Here is a 14,670-nt window from a genome sequence, read left to right as displayed (position 1 = left end):
CGCCACACCCCTTCCCCGACCACAGACCCTGGTATGTCTTGTTCCCCTCTCTGTCTACGTGTTCTCATTGTTCAACGCGCTACAGAGGTGTCTCCTAACACTCTGCACTTGCAGGGCTTCTCCTGCCGCCTGGAACAATCTCCTTCCAGGTGCTGCCCTCACTTGCTCCTTTATCTCCTTCAGGTTTTTGTTTAGACGTCATCTTCCCTGATCACCTCATTTAAAACTGCACACTTCACCCTCAGCCTGGACCCCGTGCTCCATTCCTGCTTTCTTTTATCACCACCTGACACCCAATATATTTTACTTATTTATTTTCTGTCCCCACCCATAGAATGTAAACTACACAAAGGCAGGCTTTTGTTGGTTTTGCTCATGTAGAGTAGTGGTTGGCATGTTGTAGGTGCTGGATAAATATTTGTTGAATGAATGAGTGAGCATGACACCACCCTCATGCTCCTCAGCCCCCTGGCTTGGCAACACAGTGCCCAGCCAGCCCAAGGGCCTAGCAACCCAGCCTTTCATCATATCTGAGATACAGCCCAGCTCATGTCTCTGCTTCCAATGCTTCCAGATTATTCATTTCCAAAAAATAAAAACCCAAGAAGCTGCATTTCCTACAGATAGAGGAGAGGAGGTTGGAGGGTGGATTGCATGCTCTGGACACATGGAAGGTGATTTGAGGATTTGGGGGAAAAAAATGGGAGGAGGGCAGGAGGAAGAGGTAGGAGCCAGCTTGGGTTCATTTGCTCCTTGCCTTCAGCCTGGAAGTGGAAAATCACTGTGGAGGTGGAGGGAAAGTAGGCTTGGCCCATGATGGCCAATGGAAAGGAGAGTTGGGGAAGGGAGGCAGAGAGGAGGAGGAAGAGGGGGAGAAGGAAGAAGGTTTCAGATGCTCCACCCAGTTTGGCTCACCTGTGGGTAACAAGCGTAGCTCTCTGCAGCCTATTCATATGCGTGTGAGTGTGCATCCAGGTGTGTGAGAATTCTCAGGGCTAGGGCTGGGGGCCAGGGGGTGGGGTGCGGTGCAGGTGGGAGGAGATAATCTGTGACTGTGTGTGGAGGCTGCCTATGAGTATGTGTTTACCAAGGATTGGGGATAATGGGTGCAGAGAGGTGTTTGTCCTGCGTGTGTAGGCATCTGTGTGTTTGTACATGGTTCCGTGGAGAATAATATGTCCCATTCCTGCCTCCACAGCTGAAGGAGGCCTTTGAGAGCTTGGCAGAAGGCCCAAGGAGCAGTGGAATGGGGAAAGTGCTGGATGATAGGACCCCAGGGAGGGAACAATAAAGGGCCTGGGATTAAATTTGTTGAAGAAAAGGCTAAAAGGGTGAATTAATAACTGTCTTCTTGCAAAGAAATGGATTTTAGTCCCTGTGGCCAGGGAGGTAGATTAGAAGAAAATGCACCAAAGTTGCATCTAGAGAAATTTAGATTAGACAAGGAAAAATGATCCTCTTGACTCTGAAGGTTATTAGCCTTTGGAATCTCTTAAGGGTCAGGAGGAATGTCTTCAATAATAGGACAAAATGCATCTTCTTGCAGAGGAAAATGGGCAGTTCTGCCTGGGAATCGTCATATACACACTCATTTTTTTCATTCATATATTCATTCATTTAACAATTATTGAGATCCTACTTTATGTCAGGGTTTATGGAGGATGTGGATTATTAATACATGATCTCTTTGCTCAAAGAGTGCATAGTTCTGTAGGGGAGATACAACACAGATAGAAGCCATACTATTTATTTATTTTTTGAGACAGAGTCTCTCTCTGTTGGCCAGGCTGGAGTACAGTGGTGCGATCTCGGCTCACTGCAACCTTTGTCTCCCGGGCTCTAGCAATTCTTCTGCTTCAGCCTCCCCAGTGGCTGGGATTACAGGCGTGTGCCACCACGCCCGGCTAATTTTTGTATTTTTAGTAGAGACGGGATTTCACTGTGTTGGCCAGGCTGGTCTCAAACTCCTGACCTCAGGTGATCCACCCAACTCGGCCTCTCAAAGTGCTGGGATTACAGGTGTGAGCCACCACGCAGGCCAGAAGCCACAATAATTTAGGAAACCTGTGACATTTGCCTTTGGAGAAATGCAAATAGGGCTTTTTGGGAAGACTACTGCCTCCCTCTCAATGCTCTGGATGAATTCCTGGATGGTGACTGGTGGTGATGTCATGGGGAGCTGAGGCCGCGTACCTCAGGGATCATCTCCCCTGATCAGCCCAGGGGAGTAGGAGAGCCAGCTGGGGGGACTGCTCTGGAAAAAGGAGCAGTCCCTGGCTTTGTGTGGTCAGAAGTCAAGTTTCAGTGTGGAGCGAGGGGCTATTTCTTTCCTGCCTGGGGTGGGGAAGGGCAAAAAGGCCTGAGTCAGGGTGAGAACCAGGGATCAGGTAAGGACAGATCAACATCAATGGAGCTGGGGGTAGGTCTGAAGGGGTTATATAAACACTTCCTCAGACACTGGGACTGTCAGCTGTTTCACATCATTGCTGGCAGGACCTGAATTTTTTTTTTTCTTTTTCTTGAGATGGAGTCTTGCTCTGTTGCCCAGGCTGGAGTTCAGTGGTATGATCTCGGCTCACTGCAACCTCCGCCTCCCAGGTTCAAGCAATTCTCCCTGCCTCAGCCTCTTGAGTAGCTGGGAGTACAGATGCCTGCCACCACACCTGGCTAATTTTTGTATTTTTAGCAGAGATGGGGTTTCACCATGTTGGCCAGGCTGGTCTCGAACTCCTGACCTCAGGTGATCCACCCACCTCAGCCTCCCAAAGTGCTGGGATTACAGGCATGAGCCACCGCCCATGGCCTCTCTCCCATTTTATAGATGAGGAAACTGAAGCTAAGAGAATAAAAGTAACTTGCTGAACCCAGCTAGTGGAAAAACAGATTTAAACTTCTTACCACTGAAGCCCAAGCTATTGCTCACCCTGTCATGGGGCTCCCCTGTGAGGTGGCTGACCCTGGGGAAGGGTTCAGCCTGCAACGGACTTGAGCTACGGTTTCTCTGTGAGTGGAGGCCCAGGGCCACAGTGGAGGAAGGAAGAGGTCAGGTTTGGGAAGAGGTGCAGGAAGTTCAGTTCTGCAGGTGCCACTCCTCTGAGGCAAGCGAGGATCTGGCAGCTTTAGATGGGAACTAATGGAGAGTACCTGAGATCCAGCCCCTGGATCCTACAACTTGAGGTTTCCATCCCCAAGTCTCCCTGATCTCTCTGGACCCTCCTCAGACAGCCAACATTTATCTCCAGCAATAAAAGCTATCACAACTCTCAGGACGATACCCGAGAGTTGCATTTTCAAGGCATTAGCATATCTGTTAATTCCAGAGAGGCTTGTCGCCTCTTGGTAGGGCTTTAGTAGTTTTATACCCTTTAGAGAGAAGAGAAGAGCTAAGCCTAGAGACTGTAAGTGATTTGCCCAGGGTCCCAGTGTTCTTGGGAGTAGAAAGCATGCCTTATGTATCTTTGTGTGGCTCACAAGTCTCAGAACAGACAGTGTCAGGCCCAGAAGGAGCTCAGTCCAAGTTCATTGTATTGAATTGGTTCTGTATGCACTAGATTCTGGGTCTCTGGACTCCTGGTCACTCACTTGATGTTGAAAATACCCAAAGTCAAGTGTACCCCTAGAGATGAGTTTGGCTGTAGACTACAGTGGACACAGGGTGGTGGGATACCCCAGCTCCTATCGTATGTTTTCTCCTAACCCTGCTACAAGGAATCTCAACTTCTTAAAACTTGTTCTGTTCTCTGAGTGACGTCCTCAGACTGACAGCATTGGACTCTCCTGGCTTGCTGGTTAGAAATGCAGATTCCATGATGTGGTCTTGTCATAGAGACACAAGGCCCAGTGGTCACTGAGGGATGTGCTCTCTGCATGGGCAAGACTGTGACTATCTTAATACCCTGCTGGGCCTCCCCATGCTGCCTGGTAGAGTAGGCTTTCCACAAATAAATGTGTTAAATGAATGGAAAAAGAAAAAAAAAAAAAGAAATGCAGATTCCAGTTAGACCTATGAGACCTATGGACTGAGAATCTGTGGCAGAGGTAGTGGAGGTGGTATCTTGAATTTGCATTTAAACAGACTTCCCCCATAATCCTTAGGCAGCAGTGACCTAGGATATTCGGGGGAGAAGTCTCTCCAGCCAGCAAGAAAATTGAGGTCTGAGAGGCCCTGGCCTTGAGGCCTTGAACAAGAGTTGGCCCTACCCCCTACCCTGCACTGTTTGGTGACTGTGGCTAGGTTGCCAGGGGAACCAGGCTGTGTAACTTCCTGGCTTTGGTGGTTTCCCCCTCCTTGGCCTTATCTCAGCATCCGCCACCCAGTCCAGGGCCTGTGCTGGTCACGTAGGAGGGGAAGCTGGTGCCAGGCGTGCAGAGGCGTGTCTAGGATACCAGGGCAAGGCTGGCCCAAGGACCTGGGGCGGGCAAGATGGTGGAGATGTGGTTTTCAAGAAGGCAGGGAGGCTGCAGATTTGTTAATGTCTTTCTCTTTGGTCTAGGAGATATCGCACTATGGGAATGTGGGGAAGGGGGTTGGTCAGAGCCTGGGGCTCTGTCTGTCATTACTCTGGCATTTCAACTCCTCATTCATGGCCTAATTCCCCCTCCCTGGGAGTAGGGGCACCAATAATACTGTGGCCTGGCCTGTGTCCCCTTTTCTCCTCCTTCCTCCCTCTGCTCTCTAGACTTAGGGCCTCTAGCCGCAAGCACCCCTCAGTACTCCTCACTACCACCCTCACCCTAACATCTCTGCCCCAGCTTTATTCACCCCTACTCATTCTCCTTGGTTCCAAATTTTTTCCTGTTCTTCAGACTCTCTCCCCTCTCTGTGCCGCATGCACGGGTCTCTCAGAAGGTAGCAGGAAGCCCTGACAGTCTTCAAGAATGGAAAACAGAAAAAGTTTTGAAGAAAGAGGGAAGGCAGGAAATAGTTGAATAAAATAATTAATGCATTTAAGTATTTGTTTATGTTCTAAGCCATACTTTGAAGCAGTTTTGAGAATTCAAGTGTTCCAGGAAGGAGAATAATGAAAATAGTGAAATAGCCTCTCAGGCCTCTATGCAACTTGGAGGATTTATGTTCTGATTCCTGATGGTGTTTATATTACATTAAGAACAAATACCCCCCACCCCCCCTGCCCCACCATATTCCCATGCTCTGGGGGAAAGAAGTGCAAAGAAAATAGCCAGACACTGTGCAAATTGATTTTTCCAGCCTGGTCTTATCTTCATGGTATCTCTCTTTGGGGCTATTACCCTATCTCACAGATTAAGAAACAAGGCCCAGGTGGTTCAGCAAGTTACCCAAGGCCTCTCAGCTCTAAGTGGCTGAGCCAGGGTTCAAAACCTGCTAATCTGTCTCCACAATTAGTCACCACTTCTCTTCTTCACTTTGCTCCCCCAGGGAACACAAATCAGGGAGACTTCTTCTAGGATATCCTAGATGGAATTATTGACTAGGAACCAGGCCTAGAAGAAATGATGCTGTACTGAGGACTGAATGGGCATTGCAGAATTCCTTTATTGGGGGGGTGGGCACCCCTAATATGGGAGCAGAGGCTATATAGGGCAATGCGGACAGTTCCAAAGGAAGGGGGGACCCCTATCCTGGAGAATTCCCAGTAGTTAGCAAAGGAGTTCAGAGGAAACATGAGAGAAATAGACCAACATTAACACAAGTTATATGCACTTGCAAAGACTCTTCCACAGGAATGTGGAAACCCCATATCTCATTCCAACTCTATGGTCCTGCTATCCCCATCCCAGTTTCTTTGCCTTCTTCTTTCACATCCAGCCTCAGCATCTCTGATCCCTGCACTGGGAGGTGCAGTTTCCTAAATGCGGTTCAGAGAAAGGGGACAGGGAAGAGAGGAGGGGAAGGCAGGGGACGGGAGGGAGGGAAGGGGACGGGAAGGACAGAGCAAGAATCAGGGAACCAGTCTCCTTTCTCGTTGTTCTTAGACAGGAGACATGCTCAAGTAACAGGCTAGACTTTTCATTGTAACCATACGGCTGTGCTGGACCTTGTCTCCCAGACTCCTCTCATTTAAATATGCTTATTCATCAGAGGGTCAAAATTCCTATCCCTCCCACCTCCGCCGTGCAGGGAGAACCTGGGGGCCAGCGGGGTGACCAGCACCCAGGTCCAGTGGCTGTGAGGTAGAGGTGCCAGGACCAAGTCCAGCCCAAGATTGCTGGGCTCTGCTCCTGCCTCCTCCGCACCCAGCTACTGTCTTGGATCTGAGCTCCTGGCCCCTGGCTGACAATCAGGCTTTATTCTGAGACTTCTCTGGGAGTAGGAAGGGTCAGGGAGCCCGAGGTGGGGTTAGGGTTGGGCAGAGAATCTGGACCTACTCTCTTTCTCAGGCATCTTTAGTCTCTAAACTTTTCCCCTTGTTCTCAGTCCTTGGCTTGCTGGGCAGTGAGAATGGGTTGAAAATGGGATCAAGAACTAGGAGGAGAGTGAAATGAGAGCTTGGGGGAAGGAAAGGGACTCTAAAGATGCACAAATAGAAAAGGGGGAAAGAAAAGCTGGAAAACAACAGGGAGGAGAAGAGTGAGTGGAGCTTGGCCTAGGTTGGGAGGTGAGAGTGAGGACACCCCCGCTCCTCACCCCCAGCAGCACCAGATATGGCTGCAGTTTTGAGCCAAGTTTTGCTGAGAAGGGGAAGGTTGCCTCCCTACTTATCAGGGTGGACCTTGGTTTTGTGAGGTATGAAGCTTATACAATTTCGAAAGCTCCATTTGTGAAAAACAACAAAAAATTATTAAGATTAATTACAGAAGTAAACATTTGTTTTGAATAATAAATTCACAACAAATTACAAATTTAAAAAAACCTGGCAAATACTATAAACATCATAAGATTTAGAAAAGTAACACAGGATTTGTGTGAATTAATTGCTTGAAGCAACTCTAAAATACAATAGTTTTATCTTTACATTGTTGCCTGCATACACTTTGTCTCTTCATATGACAACAATGTTATCATATTATTTGCTACAGAGAGCATAGAAAGACAATTCAGTCTTTTCTCTGGCATTGTAAGTGTGGGAAAAACACTCAAAGTTCTTTTCCTTATTTTCTCACTCAACAACAATCAAGGCAGACAGAAGGCTTCTGTGATCAAATGTGGGGGTCTTCTCCCCACCAACAAACAAGCAGTTGATTCTGCAGCAGATACCAGCTCGAATGCAATTCATGCTACCTACCTGGAGATAGTGTCAGATCCCAAAGGTTGGGTACTCAGCCTCCAAAACTGCTCCTTGCTTCAGACAGCAGTCACAAGTCTGGGTATCCGGAACTTCTGACTGACCGGCTTAAGTTGGGGTTCCCACAACCCCCCTTTGGGTTCGATTCATTTGCTGGAGCAGCTTAGAGAACTCAGGGTGACATTTACGTTCACTGGTTTATTATAAACTATATTGTGAAGGATACAGATAAAGAGATGTGTAGGGTGAGATATGGAGGAAGGAGTGTGGAGTTTCCATGCCCTCTCCACCCCTCTCCAACCAGGTGTTCAGGTTCAGCTGAACACCTGAACCTCCAGGTCTTCAGCTATCTGGAAGCTCCTGAACCCTGTTCTCTTGGGCCTTTTATGGAGACTTCGTTGGATAGGCATGATTGAAGCATGGACATTGTGTAGAAATATGATTGGAACAAAAGGGAATAACAGACTGACTGGGGAAAACCTGGCAGGACCTGTCTGTTCAGATTTTTCTTGGCCTCTCTGTGCAGCATTCCTTCATTTAGGTATGGGGCAGGACTCTCTGGAATGAGGGTCTTGTGGCCCACAACCAGATTAGAGTCTTACCTTGGGCAGATGAAAGGAGAGCAGAAGAAGATCAAAGAGAGAGAGATTCTGTTTCCTGAGGCCTGCTTCTGAGGCCTAGAGCACCCCAACATTATAACAAAAGACTATCTATGGGAGTTATGAGCCAGGAATGGTGGATAAAAAAATTATATATATAGATGATTGATAGATAAATGATAGATAAATATCACAGGCATGGATTGATCAACAGTTCTATTACAGATTAGAATGTTTCACTTCACAGTTCTTTGTAAATCATGTCAATTTTTATGATAGCTGTCAATTTGGGAAAATCTGTATTAAAATTTTTAAATGAGTTGTATGATTTCAGACCATTGTTCAGTAATTAATCCTAAATGTTCTCTTTTTTTTGAAATATGGTCACACTTGGTCACCCAGGCTCGAGTGCAGTGGCATGATCTCGGCTCACTGCAGCCCCGACCTCATGGGTTCAAGGGTTCCTCCTGCCTCAGCCCCCAAGTAGCTGGGACTATAGCCATGCGCCACCATGCCCGGCTCCTAAATGTTCTTTGAATTGATGGCACTCATTAACCAGTTCATCATAGGCCCTCACTTTAGTGTGCTAATGTGAATTTTACACAATCTCCACCAATGTCAATGTTTATGTCAAATCAACAAGACATTTAGTATTTTCCCAACATATTCATGGAATTTCCTTCTTCTTATTAGATTACAAACAATCCAAATGCCTATGTATTCTATTAAAAATTTGTCTATTCCTTTTTTTTTTTTTTTTTTTTTTGAGATGGAGTCTTGCTCTGTCGCCTAGGCTGGAGTGCATTGGCACCATCTTGGCTCACTGCAAGCTCTGCCTCCTGGGTTCACGCCATTCTCCTGCCTCAGCTTCCCATCCTCTATTTTTTTTTTTAATGGGGGTGGATAGGCTTCAATTTCATCTAATAATATAAGAAAAAAAAAGTAAAAGAAAAAATAGAGATGGAGTCTCGCTATATTGCCCAGGCTGTTCTTGAGCTTCTGTGCTCAAGCCATCCCCCCACCTCAGCTTCCCAAAGTGCTGGGATTACAGGTGTGAGCCACTGTGCCTGGCCTACCTATTCCTGTTATTGAATGATAGGCACATCTCATTTTATTGCACTGTGCTTTATTGCGCTTTACAGATATTGTGGTTTTTACAAAATAAAAGTTTGTGACAACACTGAGCAAGTCTATCGGCACCATTTTTCCAACACCATGTGCTCACTTCATGTCTCTGTGTCACATTTTGGTAATTCTTGCAATATTCCAAACTTTTTCATTATTATTATATCTGTTACGGTGATCTGTGATCAGTGATTTTTGATACTACTATTGTAATTGTCCTGGGGCACCACAAACAGCACCTGTATAAACGCCAAACTGAATCAATAAATGTTGTGTGTATTCGACCCAACAATATTGAAATTAGGCTAGTTAATAACCCTACAATGTCTTCTAAGCATTTAAATGAAAGGAAGAGTTGCTGTCTCTCACTTTAAATCCAAGGCTGATCCAGGTGAGAAGGCATGCCTATAGTACCAGCTCCTCAAGAGCTGAGGCAGGAGGATAGCTTGAGCCAAGGAGCTGGAGTCCAGCCTGGGCTATGCAGCAAGACCCTGTCTCTCTTTGAAAAAAAAATATCAAAAGCTGGAAATGATTAAGCTCAGCAAGGAAGGCACATCAAAAGCTAAGATAATCTGAAAGCTAGGCCTCTCATGCCAGTTAGCCAAGTCGCAAATACAAAAGAAATGTTCTTGAAGGACATTAAAAGTGCTATTACAGTGAACACATGAATGATAAGCAAAAAAAACCAGCCTTATTTCTGATATGGAGAAAGTTTTAGTGCTCTGGATAGAAGACCACACCAGCCACAACATTCCCTTAAGTCCACCTAGTTGGGCCGGGCGCTGTGGCTCATGCCTGTAATCCTAGCACTTTGGGAGGCTGAGGCGGGCAGATCACAAGGTCAGGAGATTGAGACCATCCTGGCTAACACGGTGAAACCCCGTCTCCACTAAAAATACAAAAAAATTAGCCAGACGTGGTGGCGGATGCCTGTAGTCCCAGGTACTCGAGAGGCTGAGGCAGGAGAATGTCATGAACCCAGGAGGCGGAGCTTGTAGTGAGCTGAGATTGCGCCACTGCACTCCAGCCTGGGCGACAGATGAGACTCCAACTCAAAAAAAAAAAAAAAAAAAGTCCACCTGGTCAAGAGCAAGGCCCTAACTCTCTTCAATTCTATGAAGGGTGAGAGAAGTGAGGAAGAAAAAAGTTTGAAGCGAGCCGAGGTTGGTTCAGGAAAGAGGTTATCTCCATAACATAAAAGTGCAAGGTGAAGCAGCAAGTGTTGATGCAGAACCTGAAGCAAGTTGTCCAGAAGATCTAGCTAAGACAATTGATGAAGATGGCTACACTAACAGATTTTGAATGTAGATGAAACAGCCTTCTACAGAAGAATATGCCATCTAGGACTTTCATGGCTAGAGAGAAGTCAATGCTTCAAAACTTCAAAGGGATGGCTGACTTTCTTGTTAGGGGTTAACACAGCCGGTTCCTTTATTTTTTTATTTTTTATTTTTCTGAGATAGGGTCTCACTCTGTCACACAGGCTGGAGTGCAGCGGCACAATCTCAGCTCACTGCAACTTCTGCCTCATGGGTTCAAGTGATTCTCATGCCTCAAGTAGCTGGGATTACAGGCACATGTCACCATGCCCAGCTGATTTTTTTTTTTTTTGTATTTTTAGCAGAGATAGGGTTTCACCATGCTGGCCAGGCTGGTCTCAAGCTCCTGACTTCAAATGATCTGCCCGCCTAGGCCTCCCAAAGTGCTGGGATTACAGGCGTGAGTCACCGCACCCAGCCAGCTGGTTCCTTTAAGTTGAAAGCAATGCTTACTTATCATTCCAAAAATCCTAAGGCCCTTCAGAATTATACTAAATTGGTTCTGCCTGTGCTCCATCAATGGCCCAACAAAGCAGGGATGACAGCACATTTGTTTACAGCATGGTTTACTGAATATTTTAAGCCCACTGTTGAGACCTACTGCCCAGAAAAAATGATTCCTTTCAGAATATTACTGCTCATTGACAATGCATCTAGTCACCCAAAGACTCTGATGGAGATGTAGTAGAAGAGCAATATTGTTTTCATTTCTGCTAACACAATATCCATTTTGTAGCCCATGGATCAAGAAGTAATTTCCAATCTCAAGTCTTATTATTTAAGAAATACATTTTGTAAGGCTATAACTACCATAGATAATGATTTTTCTGATGAATCTGGTCAAAGTAAATTGAAAACCTTCTGAAAAAGATTTGCTATTCCAGGTGCCATTAAGAACATTCATGATTCATGAGAAAAGATCAAAACATTGAGATTAACAGGAGTCTGGAGGAAGGTGATTCCAACTCTCATGGATGACTTTGAGGGGTTCAGGACTTCAGTGTAGGAAGTAATTGCAGACATAGTGGAAATAGCAAGAGAGCTAGAATCAGAAATGGAACCTGAAGTTGTGATCAAATTGCTGCAATCTCATGATAAAACTGGAATGGTGAGGAGTTGTTTCTTAGGGGGTAGAATCTACTCCTATTCCATTGACGATGGAGCTTTAAAACAACAAACAAACAAACAGAAAAGAGTTTACTCATGGTGAAGACACTGTAATCATTATTGAAATGACAAAAAAGAATTTAGAATATTCCATAAACTTAGAGGATACAGCAGCGGCGGGGCTTGAGAGGACTGATGCCAAGTTTGAAAGAAGTTCTATTGTGGGTAAAATGCTATGAAACAGCATTACATCCTACAGAGAAATCTTTCATGAAAGAAAGAGTCGGCTGGGCGCCGTGGCTCACGCTTGTAATCCCAGAACTTTGGGAGGCGGAGGCGGGCGGATCACCTGAGGTTGGGAGTTTGAGACCAGCCTGACCAACATGGAGAAACCCGGTCTCTACTAAAAACACAAAATTAGCTGGGCGTGGTGCTGCATGCCTGTAATCCCAGCTACTTGGGAGGCTGAGGCAGGAGAATCTCTTGAACCCGGGAGGCAGAGGTTGTAGTGAGCGGAGATTGTGCCATTGCACTCCAGCCTGGGCAACAAGAGCAAAACTCCGTCTCAAAAACAAACAAACAAATACAAAACTAACTTGGTGTGGTGGTGCACCTAATCCCAGCTACTCTGGAGGCTGAGGCAGAAGAATATCTTGAACCCGAGAGGCAGAGGTTGCAGTAAGCCGAGATCGCATCATTGCACTTCAGCTTGGGCAACAAGAGTGAAACTCCATCTGAAAAAAAAATAAAAAAGAAAGGAAGAGTCAACTGATGTGGCAACCTTCACTGTTGTCATATTGTAAGAAACTGCTGCAGCCACCTCTGCTTTCAGCAAGTGCTACCCTCATCAGTTAGCAGCCATTAACACTGAGGCAAGACCCTCCACCAGCAGAAAGATGATGACTCTCTCTGAAGACTCAGATGATTGTTAGCACTTTTTAGCAACAAAGTATATTTAAATTAAGGTATGCACATTTTTTTAGACATAATGCCATTGCACACCTGATAGACTACAGTATAGTGCAAATGTAACTTTCCTATGCACTGGGAAACCAAATAATTTGTGTTGCTCACATTGTATTGTGATATTAGTTTTATTGCAGTGCTCTGAAGCCTAATCTGCAGTATCTCCAAGGTATGCCTGTAGACACATGGCCAAGGGTTCTTCTCTGAGCCTTGACATGTGCTTACGTAAATGAGAGGCCTGAAGCTTAAGCATTGTTAGCTTTGAGATAAATTTTTATTGTATTTTATTTATTTTATTTTTCAAGACAGGGTCTCACTCTTGTCACCCAGGCTGGGTGCATTGGCACGATCATGGCTCAGAGCAGCCTCAACCTCCGAGGCTCAAGTGACCCTCCTAGTGCAGCCTCCCAAGTAGCTGGGACCACTGGCATGTACCACTATGCCTGGCTAATTTTTGATTTTTTGTAGAGATGGGATCTCCCTATGTTGCCCAGGCTGGTCTCAAACTCCTGGATGTAAGCAATCCTCCTGCCTTGGGCTCCCAAAGTACTGGGATTACAGGCATGTAATTGCCTGCTGGGAGGCAAGTCCCTTACACTGCACTCTGTCATTCCCTCCTTCCTGCCATAACTTTTTTAATTTTTCTTTGAGACAGAGTCTTGCATTGTTGCCTGGGCTGGAGTGATCTTGGCTCACTGCAATCTCCCCCTCCTGGCTTCAAGTGATTCTCCTGCCTGAGCCTCCTGAGTAGCTGGGATTACAGGTGCCTGCCACCACCCCCGGCTAATTTTTTGTATTTTTAGTAGAGACGGGGTTTCACTATGTCGGCCAGGCTGGTCTCGAACTCCTGACCTCGTGATCTGCCCACCTTGGCCTCCCAAAGTGCTGGGATTACAGGCATGAGCCACCGCGCCCAGCCCTTTCTGCCTCAACTTTGCACCTTTTCTTCAGAGAGTTACCCTGGGCTGAGAAAAGAATAGATTTTCAATTTGGACAGTTTTTTCTTGGCTTGTTTCCTCTTTGGTTACACGGATAGTAACTATGTCATGCAGATGTGCCTGGGAGAATGGGGTGAATACAGGAAGCACCTTATTCACAGTGGGCCGGTTACTTGTCTTCCCTTCTTTCTGAGCTGCAGGGAACGGGGTTCTAATGCCAAGGCTTAGTAAGGAAGGTTCCCACGAACAAAACAGCCCCTTCTCTCAGTCCCAAGCCTCCCAGGGACTGTGCTCCTCCTCTTCAGGCCTTCCCTTCTCCCTCTGATTAAGCCTTCAACACTTGGTGGGACTGGGCAGGGGACACAATTTTGTACTCTTGATCCCAAAGGAGATAAAGGCTGGGAAATCTAGGGAAGGAATGTGAAGCCTGTTGGAGTAAGTCCTTTTAAAAGCAGCAAGAAGTGACCTTGTCTCCCTCTTTCCATTCCCCCGGGGCTTGTGAATAGCCTTCAGTGCCCAAGTTGGAGTAAGAGCTTCAGAAAGACTGGCTGTGAGGGTTTGGAGAGAGGTTTGAGAAAGCAGCTCAGAGACTCACAGAGTCACACCAAGAGCTTAGCTAATCAGCTAATCAGCACTGGAGGAAGACAAATGTCCTTGGTCTGGTGGGACAGCTTCGTGAGGCTTGGAGCATGCAGCCTACCAAAGTGAGCTCAGTGCCAGCCCTGCAAGTTGGGAGGTAGAGAGGCCAAACCAAATTGGAAAAAATGACAAAACCCCTATGTACTTTCTAGAACAATACATACCAGCTAGGAAGTGTTAAAAGACAAGCTCCCCAAAGTCAGTTCCTTAGCTTTTGACTTATTCTAATGTAGGGCCTCCATTTTTAATAAACTCTCCCAGGTGATTCTTAGCTGCAGATTTGAGGCCCGCAATTTAAGAAACTGCTCTTGAGACTGCATAGACATCCTCAGGGCTGGAAGTTCTTTGTTGACCCGACCAGATTCTCTCCTGCTGTGGAACTGGTTTGTCCTGATCCTGCTGGCTTCTCTGCAGACTACACTCATCAGGGGTTGGCTTGGCGCCTCCTGGGCAATGGGGCAAGAGTAATCATAGCAACCTAGGTGAAGTCCCAGGGGAAAACTGTGACCCTGGGCCAGGCTCCTGGGGCCGCTGACAGTTAGAACCCCCTCGGCCCATAGTAAGTTCTTTAGGTTCGGGTTCTGACCGAAAAGTTTGGCCAAAGCCAAAGTGGAGAGCAGGGCACGCCAGGGCGGGTCAATCCTTCAGAGCCGCGGTTGGGCTGGAGCGTGGAGCTGCAACGGTTGGAGCGACGGGCTCCGGTTCCTAAGCCACCAGCACAAGGCAACTGCCCGCTGGAGGTGGGAGGGGCGGGGCCGGGGGCGGGGCCTGA

At 46.6% G+C, this 14,670-nt stretch overlaps 1 long non-coding RNA gene across 1 annotated transcript, besides 4 other annotated features; it reads right to left on the bottom strand.

Moving 5' to 3' along the window:
* Positions 1,946-2,447: an enhancer, noted in NCBI's record as "H3K4me1 hESC enhancer chr1:159882219-159882720 (GRCh37/hg19 assembly coordinates)". NCBI's record gives its function as "activates a minimal SCP1, AML or CMV promoter by ChIP-STARR-seq in naive H9 embryonic stem cells {active_cell/tissue: H9 hESC(naive)}" and the evidence as "EXISTENCE:reporter gene assay evidence [ECO:0000049][PMID:30033119]".
* Positions 4,123-4,417: a silencer, noted in NCBI's record as "tiled region #8536; K562 Repressive DNase unmatched - State 5:Enh". NCBI's record gives its function as "represses a minimal TATA promoter and a strong SV40 promoter by Sharpr-MPRA in K562 cells {active_cell/tissue: K562}" and the evidence as "EXISTENCE:reporter gene assay evidence [ECO:0000049][PMID:27701403]".
* Positions 4,123-4,457: a biological region, named in NCBI's record as "Sharpr-MPRA regulatory regions 3039 and 8536".
* Positions 4,163-4,457: a silencer, noted in NCBI's record as "tiled region #3039; HepG2 Repressive DNase matched - State 8:EnhW, and K562 Repressive DNase unmatched - State 5:Enh". NCBI's record gives its function as "represses a minimal TATA promoter and a strong SV40 promoter by Sharpr-MPRA in HepG2 and K562 cells {active_cell/tissue: HepG2 | K562}" and the evidence as "EXISTENCE:reporter gene assay evidence [ECO:0000049][PMID:27701403]".
* On the bottom strand, positions 11,323-14,626 carry LOC124904435 (uncharacterized). The gene is made up of 3 exons (XR_007066679.1): positions 14,063-14,626; positions 11,952-12,089; positions 11,323-11,411 (listed from the first exon to the last, which is right to left on the bottom strand). It is a non-coding gene; the product is annotated as an uncharacterized LOC124904435 (long non-coding RNA).
* Positions 14,627-14,670: the final 44 nt, after the last annotated feature.

Source organism: Homo sapiens, chromosome 1 (genome assembly GCF_000001405.40).
Source record: "Homo sapiens chromosome 1, GRCh38.p14 Primary Assembly".
Taxonomy (NCBI): Eukaryota; Metazoa; Chordata; class Mammalia; order Primates; family Hominidae; genus Homo; species Homo sapiens.
This window is presented reverse-complemented; position numbering and strand designations above follow the sequence as displayed.